The 18717-nt window shown below is 40.8% G+C and overlaps 1 protein-coding gene and 1 non-coding gene across 11 annotated transcripts in view, besides 5 other annotated features; one reads left to right on the top strand and one right to left on the bottom strand.

Moving 5' to 3' along the window:
• Positions 1541 to 2271: an enhancer, noted in NCBI's record as "H3K27ac hESC enhancer chr4:13629509-13630239 (GRCh37/hg19 assembly coordinates)". NCBI's record gives its function as "activates a minimal SCP1, AML or CMV promoter by ChIP-STARR-seq in naive H9 embryonic stem cells {active_cell/tissue: H9 hESC(naive)}" and the evidence as "EXISTENCE:reporter gene assay evidence [ECO:0000049][PMID:30033119]".
• Positions 2199 to 2291, bottom strand: MIR5091 (microRNA 5091). The gene has a single exon (NR_049814.1). It is a non-coding gene; the product is annotated as a microRNA 5091 (primary transcript).
• Positions 2272 to 3002: an enhancer, noted in NCBI's record as "H3K27ac hESC enhancer chr4:13628778-13629508 (GRCh37/hg19 assembly coordinates)". NCBI's record gives its function as "activates a minimal SCP1, AML or CMV promoter by ChIP-STARR-seq in primed H9 embryonic stem cells {active_cell/tissue: H9 hESC(primed)}" and the evidence as "EXISTENCE:reporter gene assay evidence [ECO:0000049][PMID:30033119]".
• Positions 2275 to 2434: an enhancer, noted in NCBI's record as "active region_21327". NCBI's record gives its function as "activates an Ori minimal core promoter by ATAC-STARR-seq in GM12878 lymphoblastoid cells {active_cell/tissue: GM12878}" and the evidence as "EXISTENCE:reporter gene assay evidence [ECO:0000049][PMID:35858748]".
• Positions 2431 to 18717, top strand: part of BOD1L1 (biorientation of chromosomes in cell division 1 like 1) — a 58988-nt gene continuing 42701 nt past the window's right edge. For 9 of the 10 annotated variants that reach the window (XM_017008010.2, XM_005248151.4, XM_017008009.2 and 6 more), the window contains exons 1-5: positions 2431 to 2811; positions 10089 to 10213; positions 14654 to 14844; positions 15346 to 15960; positions 16495 to 16644. In XM_017008010.2, coding sequence (XP_016863499.1) covers positions 2569 to 2811; positions 10089 to 10213; positions 14654 to 14844; positions 15346 to 15960; positions 16495 to 16644 — 1324 coding nt within the window. In that variant the 5' untranslated portion in view covers positions 2431 to 2568. Of the gene's footprint in view, positions 2812 to 10088; positions 10214 to 14653; positions 14865 to 15345; positions 15961 to 16494; positions 16645 to 18717 lie in introns of those variants that run through there. The other variant, XM_011513830.4, reaches the window with a different exon arrangement.
• Positions 2575 to 2774: a silencer, noted in NCBI's record as "silent region_15290". NCBI's record gives its function as "represses an Ori minimal core promoter by ATAC-STARR-seq in GM12878 lymphoblastoid cells {active_cell/tissue: GM12878}" and the evidence as "EXISTENCE:reporter gene assay evidence [ECO:0000049][PMID:35858748]".
• Positions 14808 to 14867: a silencer, noted in NCBI's record as "silent region_15289". NCBI's record gives its function as "represses an Ori minimal core promoter by ATAC-STARR-seq in GM12878 lymphoblastoid cells {active_cell/tissue: GM12878}" and the evidence as "EXISTENCE:reporter gene assay evidence [ECO:0000049][PMID:35858748]".

Raw genomic sequence — 18717 nt, 5'->3', positions numbered from 1 at the left:
ATGTCGGCCTCCCAAAGTGCTGGGATTACAGGCGTGAGCCACCGCGCCCGGCTCATAACTAATTTTTAAAATGAATAAAACATTTATATTTTACGCTATTTTAGTCTTGTAATCTTGACTGCTTTTTTTTTTTTTTTTTTTTTTGAGACAGGGTGTCACTCTGTCACCAAGGCTGGAATGAAGTGGCACCACCATAGCTTATTGCAGTCTTAACCTCCTGGGCTCAAGCAATCCTCCCACCTCAGTTTCTCAAGGTCTGCAACATCACACCTGGTTACTTTTTTGTTTTGTTTTGTTACTGGTCTTGAACTTGTGGCTTCAAGCCACCCACCTGCCCCAGCCTCACAAAGCTCTAGGATTACAGGGGTTTGCTGCCACGCCCAGCCTTGACTGCATATAGTAATTAATCTTTTAAGATTCATATCCATGACTTTCTCCTCTCTGCTATCTTCATCAAACTCCTCAAAACACACAGGATACTCTGAATTGAAACAATGAAGTCAAATTGTTTCTGATTTAAAGTAAATCTGATTTGTCTAGTTTGACAATGAAAATGGGCTCTGTTAATTAGGTTATAAGGTAAACATTTAACATTCTTAACAAACCTTTTTTTTTCTTGTTTTTGAGAAGGGTCTCACTCTGTTGCTCAACCTGGAGTGTACTGGCCCCATCATGGCTCACTGCAGACTTGACTTCTTGGGCTCGGGTGATCCTCCCACCTAATCCTCCCAAGTAGGTAGGACTACAGGTGCACGCCACTACACCGCCTAATTTCTTTTATTTTTTTGTAGAGGTGGGGTCTTGCCATGTTGCCCAGGCTGGTCTTGAACTCTGGACTCAACCGATCCTCCCGCCTCAGCCTCCCAAAGTGCTAGGATTACAGGCGTGAGACACTGTGCCCAGTGACAAAGATTTTGAACTTGAATGAGCTAAATCTGCAGTTGCAAATTTTGACAAAAACATAATTTAACCACCTGATAACAAAAATAAATCTTATCCAAAACTATTTATGAAAATGAAAAATGTTTAGATATTCTCCAAACTTTCAGTATATCAGGTGAAAGGTACACCTCATTGAAAAAATCAGGTCTAATTCATAGTCATTTGGTATCTTGGTAAAACCTATCTGGTATATTTCCCAGAATCTGAAAGAGTGAAAAAATAAGGATTAAGTAAACAAATCCTTTGGCAAGCCAGGTGGTTTTCAGCTCTTTGCTTTCCATAAAATAGAAGGAGGGCCTAATTGAAGTCAGCTCATAGATAATCAAATCTAATTTTTTGAGGTCAAGAATTGAATGATATTGCTACAACAAAACTCTTCCATTCCTAGGCACAGTACTTGTTTATATGAACAAGGTTTCTCAGGGCACACAGCTATAAAAATTACAAATAGGAATAGAATTGATGCTCAACCCTTCTTTTCCTACTAATAAGATATATTCAGCCACAGATGTAGGAACTTTAAAAAGCAACAATATGCATTTTTCAATAAAGTTACACACACTATTTAGTAATTATGAAATTTTCTAATATTTATGTTGCTTTGACCACGTACTAATAATAATTTCAAAGATGATGCAGTCCAAAAGCAGGTGATTTGCTAGCTGTGTAATCTTACTCAACATACTTAATTTATCTGAGCCTTGGTTCCCTGATTTGCAAACTGGGGACAGTAATCAGACCTAGCTCTTAGTGTTTGTCCAAAGATTAAATGCGTTAATACATGTAAAAGCACTTAACGCCACGCTTGGTACATAATATGTGCTATAGATGTTTTACCTGCTATAATCATAGTAATCAATAGCAAATCTCCTAAAAATAAAAGCCTGTCGATTTGTCTTCACAGATAGGAAGAACGGGCTGGAGGGATCGGATCTAATCCACAGGCACACTGCCAGAAACAAGGGACCCCCACGGGGAAATGGTATGTGCAGGCAGAAGAGAGACAGAAGGAACTTGGAGCTACCTGCTGGGACAAGAATAGTGCAGGATCACAGGCTAAGAACGAAGAGGGTTGGGCGAAGTTAGAATGAGCAGATCCACGTAGGGTTCGCATTACAAATGTCTATGGATCTCTATGCACTGCTCCGGGAAACTGGAGCAAGAGAGGCAGGCCTAAAATGCCGTCGCGGATGAAGCGGGGCCAGAAACGCACTGCCCCCGCTCAGACCTAGGGCCCCAGGTGTCGCGCGGGTCGAAGCCCTAACCTCCAGGGACTCCAGACCCCTGCCGGTGACCTAAACCCCACAACCCGCGACCAGCACAGTCTTGTCGTCTCCGTCGCCACAGTCGCCGCCACTTCCGGCGCAGCTCGGCCTCGCGAGGGCGCTTGCGCCCGGCGACGGTCGAAACTGGCTCTTCGCGGCCTCCGTCGCCGGACTTTCGTCAATGTTGTCACCGTCTTTTCCTCCTTTCCCCCAGTTCCCTTTCACTTCCGGGGTTGCTCTGGATCCGCTGGTTCCGTAACAACATCCCGTTGGCTTCCCTCAGGCGGCGGGACCAGTGCAGCCGCCGCCTCCCAGGATCGTCCGCCGGTCAGGGCCCTTGCCCTCCCCGGCACAGGCCACCATGGCCACCAACCCACAGCCGCAGCCGCCTCCTCCGGCGCCGCCGCCTCCCCCGCCGCAGCCGCAGCCGCAGCCACCGCCGCCGCCGCCGGGCCCCGGGGCTGGCCCCGGCGCGGGCGGGGCGGGCGGCGCGGGTGCGGGCGCCGGGGACCCGCAGCTCGTGGCCATGATCGTGAACCACCTCAAGAGCCAGGGGCTCTTCGACCAGTTCCGCAGAGACTGCCTGGCCGACGTGGACACCAAGGTTAGGAGCGCGCCGGGTTTGGGGGTCTGCGAGGGAAGGGGAGGACCCAAGGGCGCGCTTCTTTTGCAGTGGCTTCCTCTTGGAGCTGCAGCTGTGTGCCACGGACTGTGCAAAGCACAGAGTGTTCATTCCTTAGCGTGTCCTTTGGTTCGTTTTACCGACTAGTGTTTAAGTACCTACTACGTGCCAGTCATGGTTTCGGCACAGTGATTACCCCGGTCTGATGAGCAAGACTAAGGCATTGTTCTTACAGGAACTGGTTTGGAAACAGTGGCGCTAACAGTAGCCAGTTTTGTATTCATTCTCATATCTGATGATTTTACTTTGTATCGAAGTTATGTTTGCCTTCTTTCTTGAAGGTTTCTGGGCGGTAAGGGCCTTTATCCTTTGGAGAAATGACTAAATGGTAATTGAATCAAGTTATGTGTAATATGCTTTGCTGGACATCGTGGGGGTGGGAGCGCAAAGATAAGGAGGCAAACCTGAGACAGGACTTTAGTATTGTTTCTAGCAGTGATTGCCTGATTTAGGTAACTTAGGCCATGTCACCATTCTAAGGTAAGAAGGGACAGGAAGGTGGGGTAGAGAGAACCGAGTCATTCAGTGGAGAAAAGATGCAGGAGAGGTGACAGCAGATACTGAAGTGGAGAAAGGACAGGAAAGAGAGCAGATTCAGGAGAGTAATGTAGAGAAGGGAAAGGACAGCAACAAGGTTCCCTGTCCAGAAAGAGAGGCTGGAAAGGGGAAGGGATTTTGTACCAAATGTCAGAGTGAAAGGGACATTAGCAGGAACAAGTAAACTTAGCTGGATTGGCAAAGAATTAGCCAAAGACACCAGGAAAGAGCAGTCAGTGAGATGGATGGAAAACCACAGTACAGTCTAGAATTCTGGAAGCAGAAAGCATGTTGGAAAATTAACTGGTTTGTAGGGGTTGTTTTTGTCTGCTTGTTAAATCTGGTTGGGTCCATTGGATTGGAGTTTTGATGAAATGAGGGTTTCCTTTTTTTTTTTTTTTTTTTTTTTTGAGACAGAGTCTCGCCCTGTCGCCAGGCTGGAATGCAATGGCGTGATCTCGGCTCACTGCAACCTCCGCCTCCCGGGTTCAAGCGACTCTCCTGTCTCAGCCTCCCAAGTAGCTGGGATTACAAGCGCGTGCCACCACGCCCTGCTAATTTTTGTATTTTTAGTAGACACAAGGTTTCACCGTGTTGGCCAGGATGGTCTCGATCTCCTGACCTCGTGATTCGCCCAGTAGGCATGAGCCACCGCGCCCGGTCGAGGGTTTTCTCATAGTATGTTTAGTTGTTCTGAGGAGCTTTGTATCTTTGAGAAATGCATGTTTACAACATCCACAGTTTCTTCTAAAGCTTTCAGGTGAACTGCACACAGTTCCACTATGTCTTCTGGGGAAACTCTTGAATATCCTGGTACATCTTCCTTTATAAGGACTCATACTGGGCCCACTATGTAAAACGTGGTTTTTCGGGATATTGGAGGTTTTGCACCACAGAGAATTCAATTCACTTGGGAGTGTTCATCTATTTAGGAAGTATAGTTTTTTTTACTTTTGTCTTCAGGAATATGCACTGCTACCTTTTAGAAATAATTTCTATTGCCTTTATTATTTTTGTTGTTATTTAATGGGAAAAGGTTAGACATGGCCAGGTAAATGTTATCAAATAAAGTTAGTTATTCGTATTCAACAAGTGGAATTTTTACTTTGCTGTTCTCAGAAACCCATGAATCTGTGTGTTCTCAGAAACCCATGAATCATTATGTATACAAATTAAAAATTGTAATGTACTGCTGCAATGTCTGAGGCTCAACTTTTTTATTATCCTATTCCCACAAAATGTTATTGGTATGTGTCTATAATATCCCTGCCAGACCCTTCAAAGTAAAGGATTAAAACCTTTTTTGGAGGGAAGGAGGGAAGCACAGTATCTCTGATCATCTAATGAAAGTTAGGACCTTCTCTCAAGAAAAATGCGCAAGTAACACATTAAAACGCTGTTTTTCTACTTCAGAATGGTCAACTATAGGCAATTTCATGAGAATCAATCTAATAACATATACAGTTTCAGTGAGTTCAGGAACCATGGAATAAGAACCTATTTTAATGTTCTTAGCCTCTTTTTTGAGGTCAAGAATTGAATGATATTGTTACAACAAAACTCTTCCATTCCGAGGCACAGTACTTGTTTATATGAACAAGGTTTCTCAGGGCGCATGACTATAAAAATTAGAAATAGGAATAGAATTGATGATCAACCCTTCTTCTAGTAATAAGACATATTCAGCCACAGATGCAGGAACTTTAAAAAGCAACAGTATGGCCAGGCCCGGTGGCTCATGCCTGGCCACCGTGGGCCAAAGTAGAAGATTCCCTGTTCATGCAAAGAACCATCACTTTAATGGAATCCTTGAGTTTCATCTGCCACTTGAACCTCAAAGACTGACCTGCTTTCTGTCAAAAAGTCTTAACTTGTAGCATATAGAGTTATAGTGGATTATGTCTGTCACGTGCATATTTAAGAATGAAGACATTTGATACCTGCCAGGTGCTAAGAGCAAAACTGTCATCCAGTTTAGTGTGTTTAAACCAGGATGAGAAGTACCAAAGTCTGCTGCTACACCAGAAGACCACAGAACCCTGGTCTTCTGGGAGGCCGAGGTGGGTGGATCATTAGAGGTCAGGAGTTCGAGGCCAACCTGACCAAAATGGTGAAACCCCATCTCTAGTAAAAATACAAAAAAAGTAGCCATGTATGGTGGCACATGCCTGTAGTCCCAGCTACTCGGGAGGCTGAGGCAGGAGAATTGCTTGAAGCCAGGAGACAGAGGTTGCAGTTAGCCGAGATTGTGCCAGTGCACTCCAGCCTGGGAGACAGAACAAGACTTGGTCTAAAAAACAAAAATTTTTAAAAAGCAACAATACACATTTTTCAATACAGTTGCATATACTATTTAATAATTATGAAAATTTCTAATATTTCTGTTGCTTTGAGAAATTAGAACTGAAATGACACCCTCCCAGACAAAAAAGAACACTCAGCTATGGTTGAAGTTCTGGTGCTCAGACGCTAGCTTAAACTCTCCCACAAAATCTCTCTCTCTCTCCCCCTCCCTGCCACTAACCTCTGTACCTGCTCCTGGTTATGTTACAGGTTATGTTCTGGTACTTCCTTTACCCCATGACTCTCTCCTTCTCTTCTACTCCCTTAGTTAGCAATTAGGTAGATTTTAATTTGATTTAAAAGATTTGTTCTCATTGAATACCATTTTATACTTCATTTTCTTATTTGAAAAAAAAAAAAATATATTCCCCCCTGCTTCCCAAAAAGCCAAAGTTTTCTTCATCAGAACATAACATTCATATCAATATGATGAGTGGGCCAAAGTAGAAGATTCCCTGTTCATGCAAAGAACCATCACTTTAATGGAATCCTTGAGTTTCATCTGCCACTTGAACCTCAAAGACTGACCTGCTTTCTGTCAAAAAGTCTTAACTTGTAGCATATAGAGTTATAGTGGATTATGTCTGTCACATGCATATTTAAGAATGAAGACATTTGATACCTGCCAGGTGCTAAGAGCAAAACTGTCATCCAGTTTAGTGTGTTTAAACCAGGATGAGAAGTACCAAAGTCTGCTGCTACACCAGAAGACCATAGAACCCCCCTCCAAACTGTCCAGGGTCATTGATAGTCCTTAACCAGGAGAGAGATCTGACTGTAACAGACCAAATCAGCCCTTCCCACCCAAAGAAATGGAACCATGGGCAACCCTAAGCTCCAACTACTGCAAAGACTCCTCCGTTATAGACTACCAGTTTCCAGATCTCTGGAGCAAGCTTAGTGGTTACAAAGCCATTCTGTCTCCTTTGCACTGATTAGCATCTGGAGCGTGTGAGGAGGGATGATCAAGAGGCCCTTCAGGGAGCTCGCCAGCCAGGTAAATATGGTACCTCTCTTGTCAAGTAAGAAAGTCTGATTTTTTGGACACTTTCTTAGTTATAAATGGCCCCTGGTCAATTTATTCACCCAACAAACATTCATTGAGCAACTCTTATGTACCAGTCATTTTTTTAGGTGCCAGGGATACAGCAGTGAACCAAACATCCCACTGTTATGGAGCTTACATCCTAGTAGAAAAAAAAAATAGACAACAAGTAATGTATGGTAGGTCCTATGGAAAAAAGCAAGATGAGGGATGGATGGGCTTACTGTTTTATTTCGAATAAGCTGTTCAGGGTAGGTTTCAATGTGATGATACTTGAGCCATCTGTGAAGGAATTGAAGGGGCAATGCAGCTGTCTGGGGCTTGAGCATTCCAAGAAGAGAGCATAGCAAGTATAGAAGAGCTGAGACAGACCCACTAAGGGGAAAGTGACAAGAGGTGAGGTAGGTATGCCTTCACAGATCTGGCAGGTCTTGGGAGCCATCAGAAGACCTTGGCTTTTACTCGAGCTCAGAAGCCATTGGCAGGTTTTGAGCAAAAGAAGGACATGATCTGACTTCCATTTCAGATGGGTTGACCACGTGTAATAGCTTCCCCTTTCTTGCTAAGTTGTGATTTGAATGGGTCAATAAATTACATGGTTACCTGATTTTTAGAAGACAACTTTGTTGTAGGTAAGGATAGAATTCTGCATGAGGCCAGTTGTTATAATTCAGACAGATGAGAATGCCTTGGAACAGATTGAGGTCAGTAAAGGTAGTGGGAAGTGGTCAGATTCTGGGTGTATTTTCATGCTACTGTTGAGAGAATTTGCTAATAGTATGCATGTGAAGTAGAAGACAAAGGGAGGACTCAAGGATAACTCTAAGGCTTTTCACCAAAGCACTGGAAAAGGAAGAAAGGGTGGAAGTATGTGTAATATATGTGTGTGTGTATATATGTGTACATGTGGGTACATACATGTTCCTAGGAGAATACTTCTCAATGAATACTTAATATTTCTCTAGTTGCTCAACTTTTTACTGAAAGGAGAGCTTGAAAACAAGGAAAATTACCTGTTGAGTAGTTCAGATTTGAACTTGTTCTGGGAAGACTAGACTAGAATGCCAAATGCATTGTGATGTTAGAGCCTAATGAATGTGTGTTAGATTTGGGAATACCGGAAAGAAGAATTAGGCTTTAGAATCATTGGGGAGAAAGAATTAAGAATTAGTTTTAGGGCTGGGTATGGTGGCTGACACCTGTAATCCCAGCACTTTGGGAGGCCGAGAAAGGTGGATCACTTGAGGTTAGGAGTTCAAGACCAACATGGCCAATATAGCAAGACCTTGTCTCCACTAAAAATACAAAAATTAGCCAGGTGTGGTGGCGCATGCCTGTAGTCCCAGCTACTCAGGAGCCTGAGGCACTAGAATCACTGGAACCCGGCAGGTGGAGGTTCCAGTGAGCCGAGATCACACCACTGTACTCTAGCATGGGCAATCGAGCAAGACTCTGCCAAAAAAAAAAAAAAAAAAGAATTAATTTTAGTTCATATCGATTTTGGATAAATGGACAGGCACATAGGAAATGATCATGTAGGACAGGAAATAAGTATCAGCAAAGGCCTGAAAATTGGAACTGATGAAAGGGCATCAGAGGGATAAAATGTTTGTCATTCTGTGTTAGAGATAGTTACCCATTCAGCTAACAAGTATATTTTAATTGCTCATTTGCCAAGCAGTGTGATAGGCTATATGAAAACAAATTGTAAGAGAGATAGAGGAGGAGGCTTACACATCAATGGAGGATAAATATGCCTTGCTTCCGAAAATACAATGTAGTGCAAGAATTGCTCGAATGGTAGCATGTATAGAAAACAGTAGGAGCGTGGATGAAGAGCCCATAAGCCTACCTTCGGTGTCAAGATGATTTCACAGATTAGGGTGAGCTCTGAAGGTGAGAAGTTTGTCAGATGGACAACCAGAGGGAATGGTAGTTGCAGGATGGTAGGTGCAGATATGAGAATTTCTCACTGGAGTGTAAACTTTGAAGCTAAAAGGAGGCAAATGGCAGAAGGTGAGGCTATACAGTGCTTGCTTAATATCAGTCAGGGACACTCAAACTCATCCACATTAAAAGCTGTATAGAAGAAAGGTAGAAAGAACATCAGTGTTGGGAGACAGCCTCTAGAAATGGAGTGCAGTGCTGAGTGCTTGGTCACATATTCCTTCCAGGCAATGCCCCTTCAGGTAGAGATGATGTAATATGTGTTCCCCTCCATGTTCCCCTCAGGGAGCACATCAAGGGTTCTCAGACTCAGCACTGTCGACATTTGGGGCTGGATAGTTCTTTGCTGTCGGGGGATTGTCCTATGCATTGTAGGATCTTCAGTAGCATCCTTGCCCTTGACCCACTAGATGCCAATAGCACTCTCATCAGTTGTAACAACCTAAAATGTCTCCAGACATTGCCAAGCGTCCCTTGGGGGATGAGAGTGAAATCCTTCTTGGTAGAGAACCATTGCCTTACCTCAGATTTAATGCCTAGTTCAAGTAGTTGTCCCTCAATAATTTCTCTTGGGTCTATGCCATTAGCTGGTTTCTGCCACCCCAGTAAAGACCTTCCTCACTGTAGTTTATTGCATGCTTTCCTAAAGTATTTTGTGTCTCTTTACTCTTGCACTGTAGGATGATTAACCATCAGAAAGCTTAGCTGTTCTATCACTCTGCCCATATGTGCAGTGGGCTCCCATTCTCTACCCTGTAATTCCAAACTTGTACAAGTAACCAAAGCTTTTTAGCACCTGGCCCCAACCTCTCTGTCTTAACCTCATTTCTCTGCTTTTTGTATTCTCTTCTATAGCCAAATTGGACCACCAATTTGGAGGCTCACTAAATGCTCCTGGCCTCCAGTTTGCTCATCCACTTGCTCTTTGTTTACATTGACTGTATGAGCAAAGCCAGCCATTCTCATTCCCAGCTTCCTTGTGCAATTGATTTTTCCAGCTCAAATGGCACATTTTCAGTGAAGGCATGCTTCCTCAGCTCTTCTCCCTTTTTTACTCCAAATCATCTAATAATAACACTTGTTCGTGTCTTATTTTCCAGTCCTTTGTCTATAAATAAGAGGTGTATCTTTCTTCTTTATATTCCTCATATCTCCAAACACCTTGTCTTACACAAAATAAGTAGTATTTGAATGAGTGTAAGTTATCTTGAAGCAGAATTGTCAGAAACTGTGAAACTTTGTTGTCCCATGGTAAAAATACTTTTCTGAGAGGTGAATATTGATACTGTATAACCTTGAAGACTTACCTTCGTTTTTTTCTCTCTAGCCTGCGTATCAGAATCTGAGACAGCGTGTTGACAACTTTGTTGCAAATCACTTGGCAACTCACACATGGAGTCCGCATCTCAATAAGAACCAGCTAAGAAACAACATTAGACAACAAGTCCTCAAGTAAGTCTCAGAGATAGAGTTCTGGGCAGGTTTTAAATGTCCTAACCTACTTTGCCTGAAAGCGGAGGCATTACATACATATTTGTTCACCTAATGATGTTGACAATTTTACTGGATTTGGTGTGGCTATTTCGTGTGATGTAGCATAATTTTGGATTTGGGTCTAATCACTTCACATGTTCTTATACATTTTAACAGTCTGATTGTTCCTATAGACCTTTGGAAATATTTGAAGGAAGGAAATAACAGTATGACTTTCTAAAAAATCTAGATATAATATTAATAGATGATATATACAGTTGCCTTCACAACTATTTTCTTGACCCTAAGAGAGCAAGCAGGCTTTATTATTCTTATTTTACAAATAAAGACATTAAAGATTACTGAAATTAAAATATTCTCTCTTGATTTGAGGCCACGTCTTCTTTTAATACAGTGCCCCCGTCTTTTGCATTTTACTATGACTTTTAACTGCTGTTTATGAATGATATAGCTCCCCACCTCCCCTCAAAGTGTTTGGACTTGTCAGAGCCATTTTGAGTGAACATAAGGTAATGACAATTATAAGAACTCGAATATTTGGAGCATCCTTAGGAAACTAGATTTACGGTCTTCTACTTTTTTTTTTTTTTTTTTTAAAGAGTCTCATTCTGTTCCCCAGGCAGGAGTGCAGTGGCATAATCATAGCCTGCTGCAGCCTCAATCTCCTGGGCTCAAGCAGACCTCCCAACGTCATCCTCCTGAGCACCTGCCACCATGCCCAGCTTATCGTTGTATTTTTTTGTAGAGACAGGGTCTCATTATGTTGCCCAGACTGGTCTCCAAATCCTAGGCTCAAGGGATCTTCCCTCCTTGGCTTCTGAAAGTGCTGGGATTATAGGCATGGGCCACCTCACCTGGCCACTACTTGTTCTTGAATGTAAATATTTGCAAAGACAAGAAAGCCTTCTACCCTTGCTATACCCCTCAAAAAAAGGGTGACTAAGTTATTTAGAGATCATCCAGTCTCCCTGACTTGACAAGTATTTATGTTCAAGTACATCTTTGAGAATGAAGTGTAGCTTTTTTTTTTTTTAACAGTTAAACAAATCTGTTTTATACCTGCCACCTCTTAATTTCCTTTTGTCCCATAGGAACCTCTCGAAAGCCTATCTAGTCTGATAGTTTCAACCAACAGGAAGCCCCACAAATCAAAATTCACACCCTGACTAAAAGACAAACCTATTTAGCCACAGGTAATACTAGAAACCAGAAGCCTGGGGGCTCAGACAGTGTCTCCTTGTGCATAAGAGAAGAGGGAAATTCACAATAGCTTTGTTGTCTACATTTTAAAGGATGTCTGAGGAACCTGTAAAAGAGTCCAGGTGAGATCAAAAGATGCCATTAGAAGGCTGCATAATAATACCTGGTGGGAAAAGGTCAAAGCTGTTTCTAGAAAAAGTAGAAACAAAAAAGATCTGTTGGGTGACAGGCCCGCTGCCTGTAGTTTCCACAAAGGCTTTCAAAGAGAACAATGACCAAAATAGCTTAGGACTAGGGGATAAGGGAGTGGAGGTAGGGTAGAGCACCCCTTCACACACATTTATACAGAGCCCTACTGATTACTTTCATTCAGTGATTTGCATAGCCACCTCCCTGTTCACAAATGATTGCATTGCTTTAAAAGCATGTTTTTTTGGGAGTCTGGCATTTTTTTTCTTCATATATTGACACTCAGATTGAAGGCAAACTTCTTAGAATTGCATTTACTTTTATAGCGTATAAAATCTATAAGGTAAGGGAGCAGTCATTCTTTTATTTAAGGGAACTAAGTCTTACACATGTGAAAATTAAGCACTTAAAATTATTGCTGTACCAGTAAGATATTGTGATCACAAAATCATGTTTGGTGCGAGGTCAGGGGTTCTTGTGGCTGTGTCAGTGATTAAATGCTGGAGCAATTTGCCTATGAGTAATGAGGAATCTCTTTTTCTGGAGACATTTTGAAAGAGGGAAGACAGCTGCCTTCTCTTGGATGATACTGATAATAACATTTTAAAGCTTCCTTAAAGAGATTATTTAGTTATGTTCAATCTGAAGGTATAGGGGTGGACTAGCCCCTGTAAATAAATATAATTTCAAACAGTTTTTTGTACGTATGCTTTGAGACATACTCACTTGACTCCATTAGGTTGAGCTATCTGCACTTGCCATTTTTGTAAGACAAAAATGGTCTAATACCAGTAATTTCAGATGGTTCAACTTAATAGCTGATCTGCTGACTCAGTAGGAGGGAAAATTTTATTCTACTTAAGCTTTTATTTGTACAACAGAATCTGAAAATCCTAGGTAACTGAATAACGAACTTAGCTAAACATAATTTGAAAGGAAGACAAGGAAGTAACTTTAACCAGAAAAACGCCAGCTGTTGGCATTTTGGCTTTGCCGTTGACCTAGGGCTGTAGCTTCTCCCCACTTGGGTGAGGCAGTTATGGCCGCTAAGTGCAGTATGATCATTGGTACTGGACTCCATTTTTCTGTAAGATTAGAGCTGACCTCTGTGTGAGAAAGGACTAAAGCAGAAGTGTTTTGTTTGTTTGCAAAACAAGAGGCTGGAACATAGGCAAACAGAGAAAGAGACTGAAGCAAAAATTTGGGAGTGGATAGTTTAATTTTTTTTTGGTACTTTTTTTTCTATTTTCTATTTTTTTTTTTTTTTTTGAGACGGAGTTCGCTCTGTCGCCAGGGTGGAGTGCAGTGGTGCCATCTCAGCTCACTGCAATCTCTGCCTCCTGGATTCCAGCAATTCTCCTGCCTCAGCCTCCCAAGTAGCTGGGATTACAGGCACGTGCCACCACACCCAGCTAATTTTTGTATTTTTAGGAGAGATGAGGTTTCACCATGTTGGCCAGGATGGTCTCGATCTCCTGACCTTGTGATCTGCCCGCCTTGGCCTCCCAGAGTGCTGGGATTACAGGCGTGAGCCACCATGCCCGGTCCTTTTTGTACCTTTTTACTTGTACCCTAAAACCTTTTTTAAGATTGCTTTTTCTTATTTCTTTTCTACCTACTACATTTTAAATACACCTCTAAGATGTAACAGTGTTTGCAAGATTTGCATTTTTTTTTAATCTTTAAAAAGCAGGTAACCTACTTTGTGCTGAGTTGGCTCATTTTTCTCTATGGCCCACATAAGTAGAATTATAGTTTCACAAGGCGACAAGGTGCTTCCAGAAATGAAAAACTAATCCATCCTGCACTCCAGATGGAAGTGCACTCAAAAATAGCATTTGTAAAGTGTAAGGAAAGATGGCTCCTCATCCATTCCATAGAGAGCAGTTGAGGCTTAGAAGCTAAAAATGACGAGCACTTTGATCTTCCAGCACTATCCTGACTACCTTGACTCCTCCACTTCTTTTTTAGGAAGAAACAAGATTTAAGTGTGTTTCTTAAAATAAATTCACGTTCTCTTATTTTACTCAGATGCCTTTGTGCAGAAGCACATTTCACAGATTGTTGTCCTCATCGCTCTTTTGTCTCTTGTATATGATATTTCCTTAACTCCATGTGTCTTTCTTCCCCTTCTCTTCTGTAGAAATGAAGACTTGGCTCAAATGTCTTCTCCTTTATGAAGCACTCCTAAATTATCTTCGACATATCTAATAATTTCTTATTCCTCTAATAAGCAAATAATTTCTTACTCCTCTCTTTTCCTATAGTACATGTTGTGTACTAGTGCCTGTCATCTCATGTCTTGATTGTTTGTGTCTACATCCCCATCCAGAACAGGGACCAGGTCAATTTGTAGCTGTCAGTGGCCAGCATAGTGCCTGTTATATAGAAGACACTTATAACGTAATTGTTGAATGAATAAATCATCCAGTTTTTACAGCGGGAAGATAATAGAAAGCCAGAAGTCTTGTTTCTCCAAATTTTTTTCTCTAAAGTTTTCCTTCTTTGATTTTGCAATTTGATGAAATCATATTTTGTATGTGTTGTTTTTTTTCTGGGGACTCTAATGCTTATAAAAAGCTTACATTTTTTCTGTTAAAAAAAGTTGTAGAGACCATAGGTTTATTTTATACCCAGAACTCAGCTTTTTAATGAGCATATTCCTATATGCCATGAGCAGAGTAGGGGTGAGATAAGCATCACCTCTATACTGGACCCTAGGCAGTGTACTGTGTCTAGTTCTAAGGGTGTTTTGTTTTGTCTGTTTCAGTATTTCCACTAGTGACACAGTGGTAGAAAAGTTTACAGACTTGTATAGTATGGTATATCTAAATGCTACTGTAGCATGAAACTTAGTTTCCATTGTCTATATCCAAGTAAATGGATTGGGACAATTTAAGGTTGGATGGATGGATAGATAGATGACAGATTGTAGAGTGTTATTTTAAAGTAATTAATGCAAATAATATATTATTTTTTCACCTTTCCATAAATTATCTTGTGTTTCAGATCAGGAATGTTGGAGTCTGGTATTGACCGAATTATTTCTCAGGTTGTGGACCCAAAGATCAACCACACATTCAGACCTCAGGTAGAGAAAGCTGTGCATGAGTTTTTGGCCACGCTAAATCACAAAGAGGAAGGAAGTGGCAACACAGCTCCCGATGATGAGAAACCAGACACTTCCCTTATTACACAAGGTGCTTTGCTTTTACTCTTGGTCAGTTCCATTGTTTTTCTTCTTGAACTGAATATCAAGTTAGGGATACTTGGCTCTTTAACACATTTTTTAATTTGGCTATTCCAATGAAATTGTACTTTAAATATCACCTAAATTCCTCAATTGCCATAACATTTCGTTTTCTAGATTAATAAAAATAATAAGCATTGTAGTAATGTGATGTGAGTGTGAGTATGATAATAGAAGGAATAACTAAAATAATTAGAGAATATAGTCTTTTTCTAGGAAGTAGACAACTCCTCAGATTTGCATGGTGCCCTCGCTAAGATAATATATTAGAGAGGTAGATAATTCAGAATATGGTATATACTAGTACTGGTACCTGAAAGTCTAAAAGAATATACAGATGGTCTGCACAGCATATGCATCATATAAAGATGACAATGGCATGTGGTATTGATTTAGCAGAGGTATTTTCCTTCTGATTAAATGTATTCTAAAACTTCTGTTTTTCTTTAAGGTGTTCCTACTCCTGGGCCCAGTGCTAATGTAGCCAATGATGCCATGTCGATATTGGAAACCATAACTTCTCTTAACCAAGAAGCCAGTGCTGCTAGGGCTTCAACAGAAACATCAAATGCCAAGACCAGTGAGAGAGCGTCAAAAAAACTTCCATCTCAGCCAACCACTGATACTAGTACTGACAAAGAAAGAACTTCAGAGGACATGGCTGATAAAGAAAAATCTACAGCTGACTCTGGAGGTGAAGGACTGGAAACAGCCCCAAAGTCTGAAGAGTTCAGCGACCTCCCCTGTCCAGTCGAAGAAATTAAAAATTACACAAAAGAGCATAATAATTTAATTCTGCTAAATAAGGATGTTCAACAGGAAAGCAGTGAGCAAAAAAATAAATCAACAGACAAAGGTGAAAAGAAGCCAGACAGCAATGAGAAAGGAGAAAGAAAGAAAGAAAAGAAGGAAAAGACTGAAAAGAAATTTGATCACTCAAAAAAGAGTGAAGATACACAGAAAGTTAAAGATGAAAAACAAGCAAAGGAAAAAGAAGTAGAGAGTTTAAAACTTCCTTCAGAAAAGAACAGTAATAAAGCTAAAACTGTTGAAGGGACAAAAGAAGGTATATAAAAACTTGCAAACATCTACAAAGTTTAAAGAACAGAGTGTTTTGGGATCAGGGAAGTATCAAATTTGCCTTCATATTTTAATAAGTTTATTTAATACTTTTGGAAACTTATATCCCCTTTGCTTAAGAAAAAAAGCAATAAATATTTGTATTTTTGTGTACTCATATATCTGTTCACAGAGTAAATTAACAGAAGTTATTAATTTATAATTTGTCTTATAATTTATTCACATACATTATTTTAAGCAACTTAGTTCATAGTTGGATATCCTAATTTTTATTAGGTAGTAAATACTTCAGTTACTTAAAATTCATTTTATTATTATATCATACATTATAAATTAATAGTTTAGTTATTTTTACAGAAGTCTACTTTGCCTTTGTATTTTCTGGAAACCACTCTGCCTTGTTTGATAGTTTGACACGTATTTAAAGCAGAAAATTTTAAGTGTAATTTAGTAATTGAGCTCTGAGTATGTTCTTATAATAAGATGATTTTTTTTTCTGTGTTTTATTTTCCGCTTGAAGATTTCTCTTTGATAGATTCTGATGTGGATGGACTTACAGACATCACAGTTAGCTCTGTTCATACCAGTGACCTTTCATCTTTTGAAGAAGATACTGAGGAGGAAGTTGTAACGTCTGATAGCATGGAAGAAGGAGAGATTACGTCAGATGGTAAAGCATTTTACATAATAATGCCTCTGAAGCATCCTGTCAAGCATTATTTGTATATTCTGATGGCTATATCCTGAGAAACAGTGTGGTATAGTAGCAAGAGCATGGGATTTTGTAGTTGGAAGATTTGTTTCTGAGTCCCAGCTCCAAAGTTGTCTGTCTGAGCAAGCTTGGTAAGTTACTAAATCTCAACAACCCTTGGTTCTTCATTCCTTAACTCTATCCCCTAGTATTATTATTAATTTAAAATTTAGAGGAGATAAATATATGAAGATGCTTTTTATTTGTGTGTGTCACATTTGGGGACAGCGTAGTCCACAACACTGCCCTCAATTAATGGCACCAGTTGCAAGTTCCGGGTTCCCTAAGACCACCGTTAGATTTGATAATTTGCTAAAAGGGCTCATAGAACTTACCGAAAGGTGGTATACTCACAGCTATGGTTGTTTACAGTTAAGGTGCTCAGATTAAAATCAGCCAAGGGAAGAGGCACACAGGGCAGAGTCCAGGAAAGTTTCAGACAGTTACTTCCAATTGTTCCCCCTTGAATTACTTCCTCTGCATTGATGTCTGACAACATATGCAGAATATTGCCAACCAGGGAAGTTCACCAGAGCCTTGGGATCCAAAGTTCTTAACCGAGGCTCTAGCATGTAGTCAGAGTTGGCTGCCCATATGGCTGATCTCAGTCTCTACCCCCTCTAGAGGTCAAACTCTTACTCCATGACCCAACACTCCGACCCTAAATCACATCGTTAGACTGTTTAGCTTGACTCAAGAGCCTTCGCACTCTGAAACACTCCAGTCAGGCATAGCATTCCAGAGGCTTAGAGATTACCTCCCAGAAGCTAATGGTAAAGGCCAGACCTCTCTGGGCAAGGCTGAATTCTTTATAATACAGTTTGTTTTTCAGAAAACCCCTCCTGAGCACTTCCTGTCTTCCAGGCACTGTGCTAAGGACATTCATGTAATAACTCCTATAGTCCTCAGAACCACCCCAGGAAGTAGGTACAGGCAAGGAGACAAAGTCACAGAGAGACCATGTCTTGTCCAGTCATGTAGCTAGTGAGCACCAGTGCAGATTTCAAACCCGAGTCTGTGCTTCTTACCAATATCTTATGTTGCTCTTACCACATGATTAAATTCTGTTTAGGACTATTAGTTTAGGAGTAATAAAAATATTGAGTTTTATTTGCAACTGCCTGTAGAGAGCATCTTATAAATTTGTTGCCAGCTTTCGGATAGGCTACCTAGAGAGAAAATCATAGAGGAGAAAAAGTATAAGCTTTTAACACCATAGAGGTATTTCTCAATGCCTCCCATTTTTTTTTCTTCAATTTCACAAACTAAAAAAAGCAGCAGCAGTAATTCCTAATTGTCATATCTGTCCTCATGAGGTCAGCTCTGCATTACCTGTGTAGGAAGAGTGCTCCCTATTCTGTGAACACTCCACTTTCTCTGCCCTAACTAAAATTAATTCTTGTTGCCTTTTTGGGTCTTCTTAAGTTTTTTCCTGGTAAGACTAGATTTTATATGTATGGGATTTAAAAAGTGAGAAGAAGATGGCTATTTTAAGAGTACATGGTAGGAAGTGAAAACCTTGTTTACTTTTTTTTTCTTCTTGCTGTGTCAAAGCAAAGCAAATTACCTTCCAGTTATTAATTCCCACCTCTTCCCTAAATGAGAAATTCAGAGGTGGTCATTAAAATCTCAAGTTTATTTTAAACTACAACTTCCAGTGGATTTGTTGAACTTAACAATGGTAAAGCATAAATATCAAGTCCAGTGACAAATAAGAATTGTTTGTCAAGAGAACTCTGAGGCGCAGATGGAGGCTGTTAGGCTGAGAGATAGCTCCAGTGCCTTGGGTTCCTACAAAGGCAAACTGAAGCCCAGTCTAAATAGTAAAACAGAATTTAAACTTAGCTCATCAGAAACCTCCAATTAACCTCTAACTAGGGACTTTCCACCAGATCATATTCAAATAAGGCAAACATCTGGCTGCAGCCAGTCCAGTCATGTGTCTCCTCTGCTTTTGTGTTCAGCCTGTGAAAGCACACTGCTGGTGTTGCG

The sequence above is a fragment of the Homo sapiens genome, chromosome 4, assembly GCF_000001405.40.
Source record: "Homo sapiens chromosome 4, GRCh38.p14 Primary Assembly".
NCBI classification, from domain to species: domain Eukaryota; kingdom Metazoa; phylum Chordata; class Mammalia; order Primates; family Hominidae; genus Homo; species Homo sapiens.
Note: the sequence above shows the minus strand (reverse complement) of the source record. Positions and strands in the feature narration are given on the sequence as shown.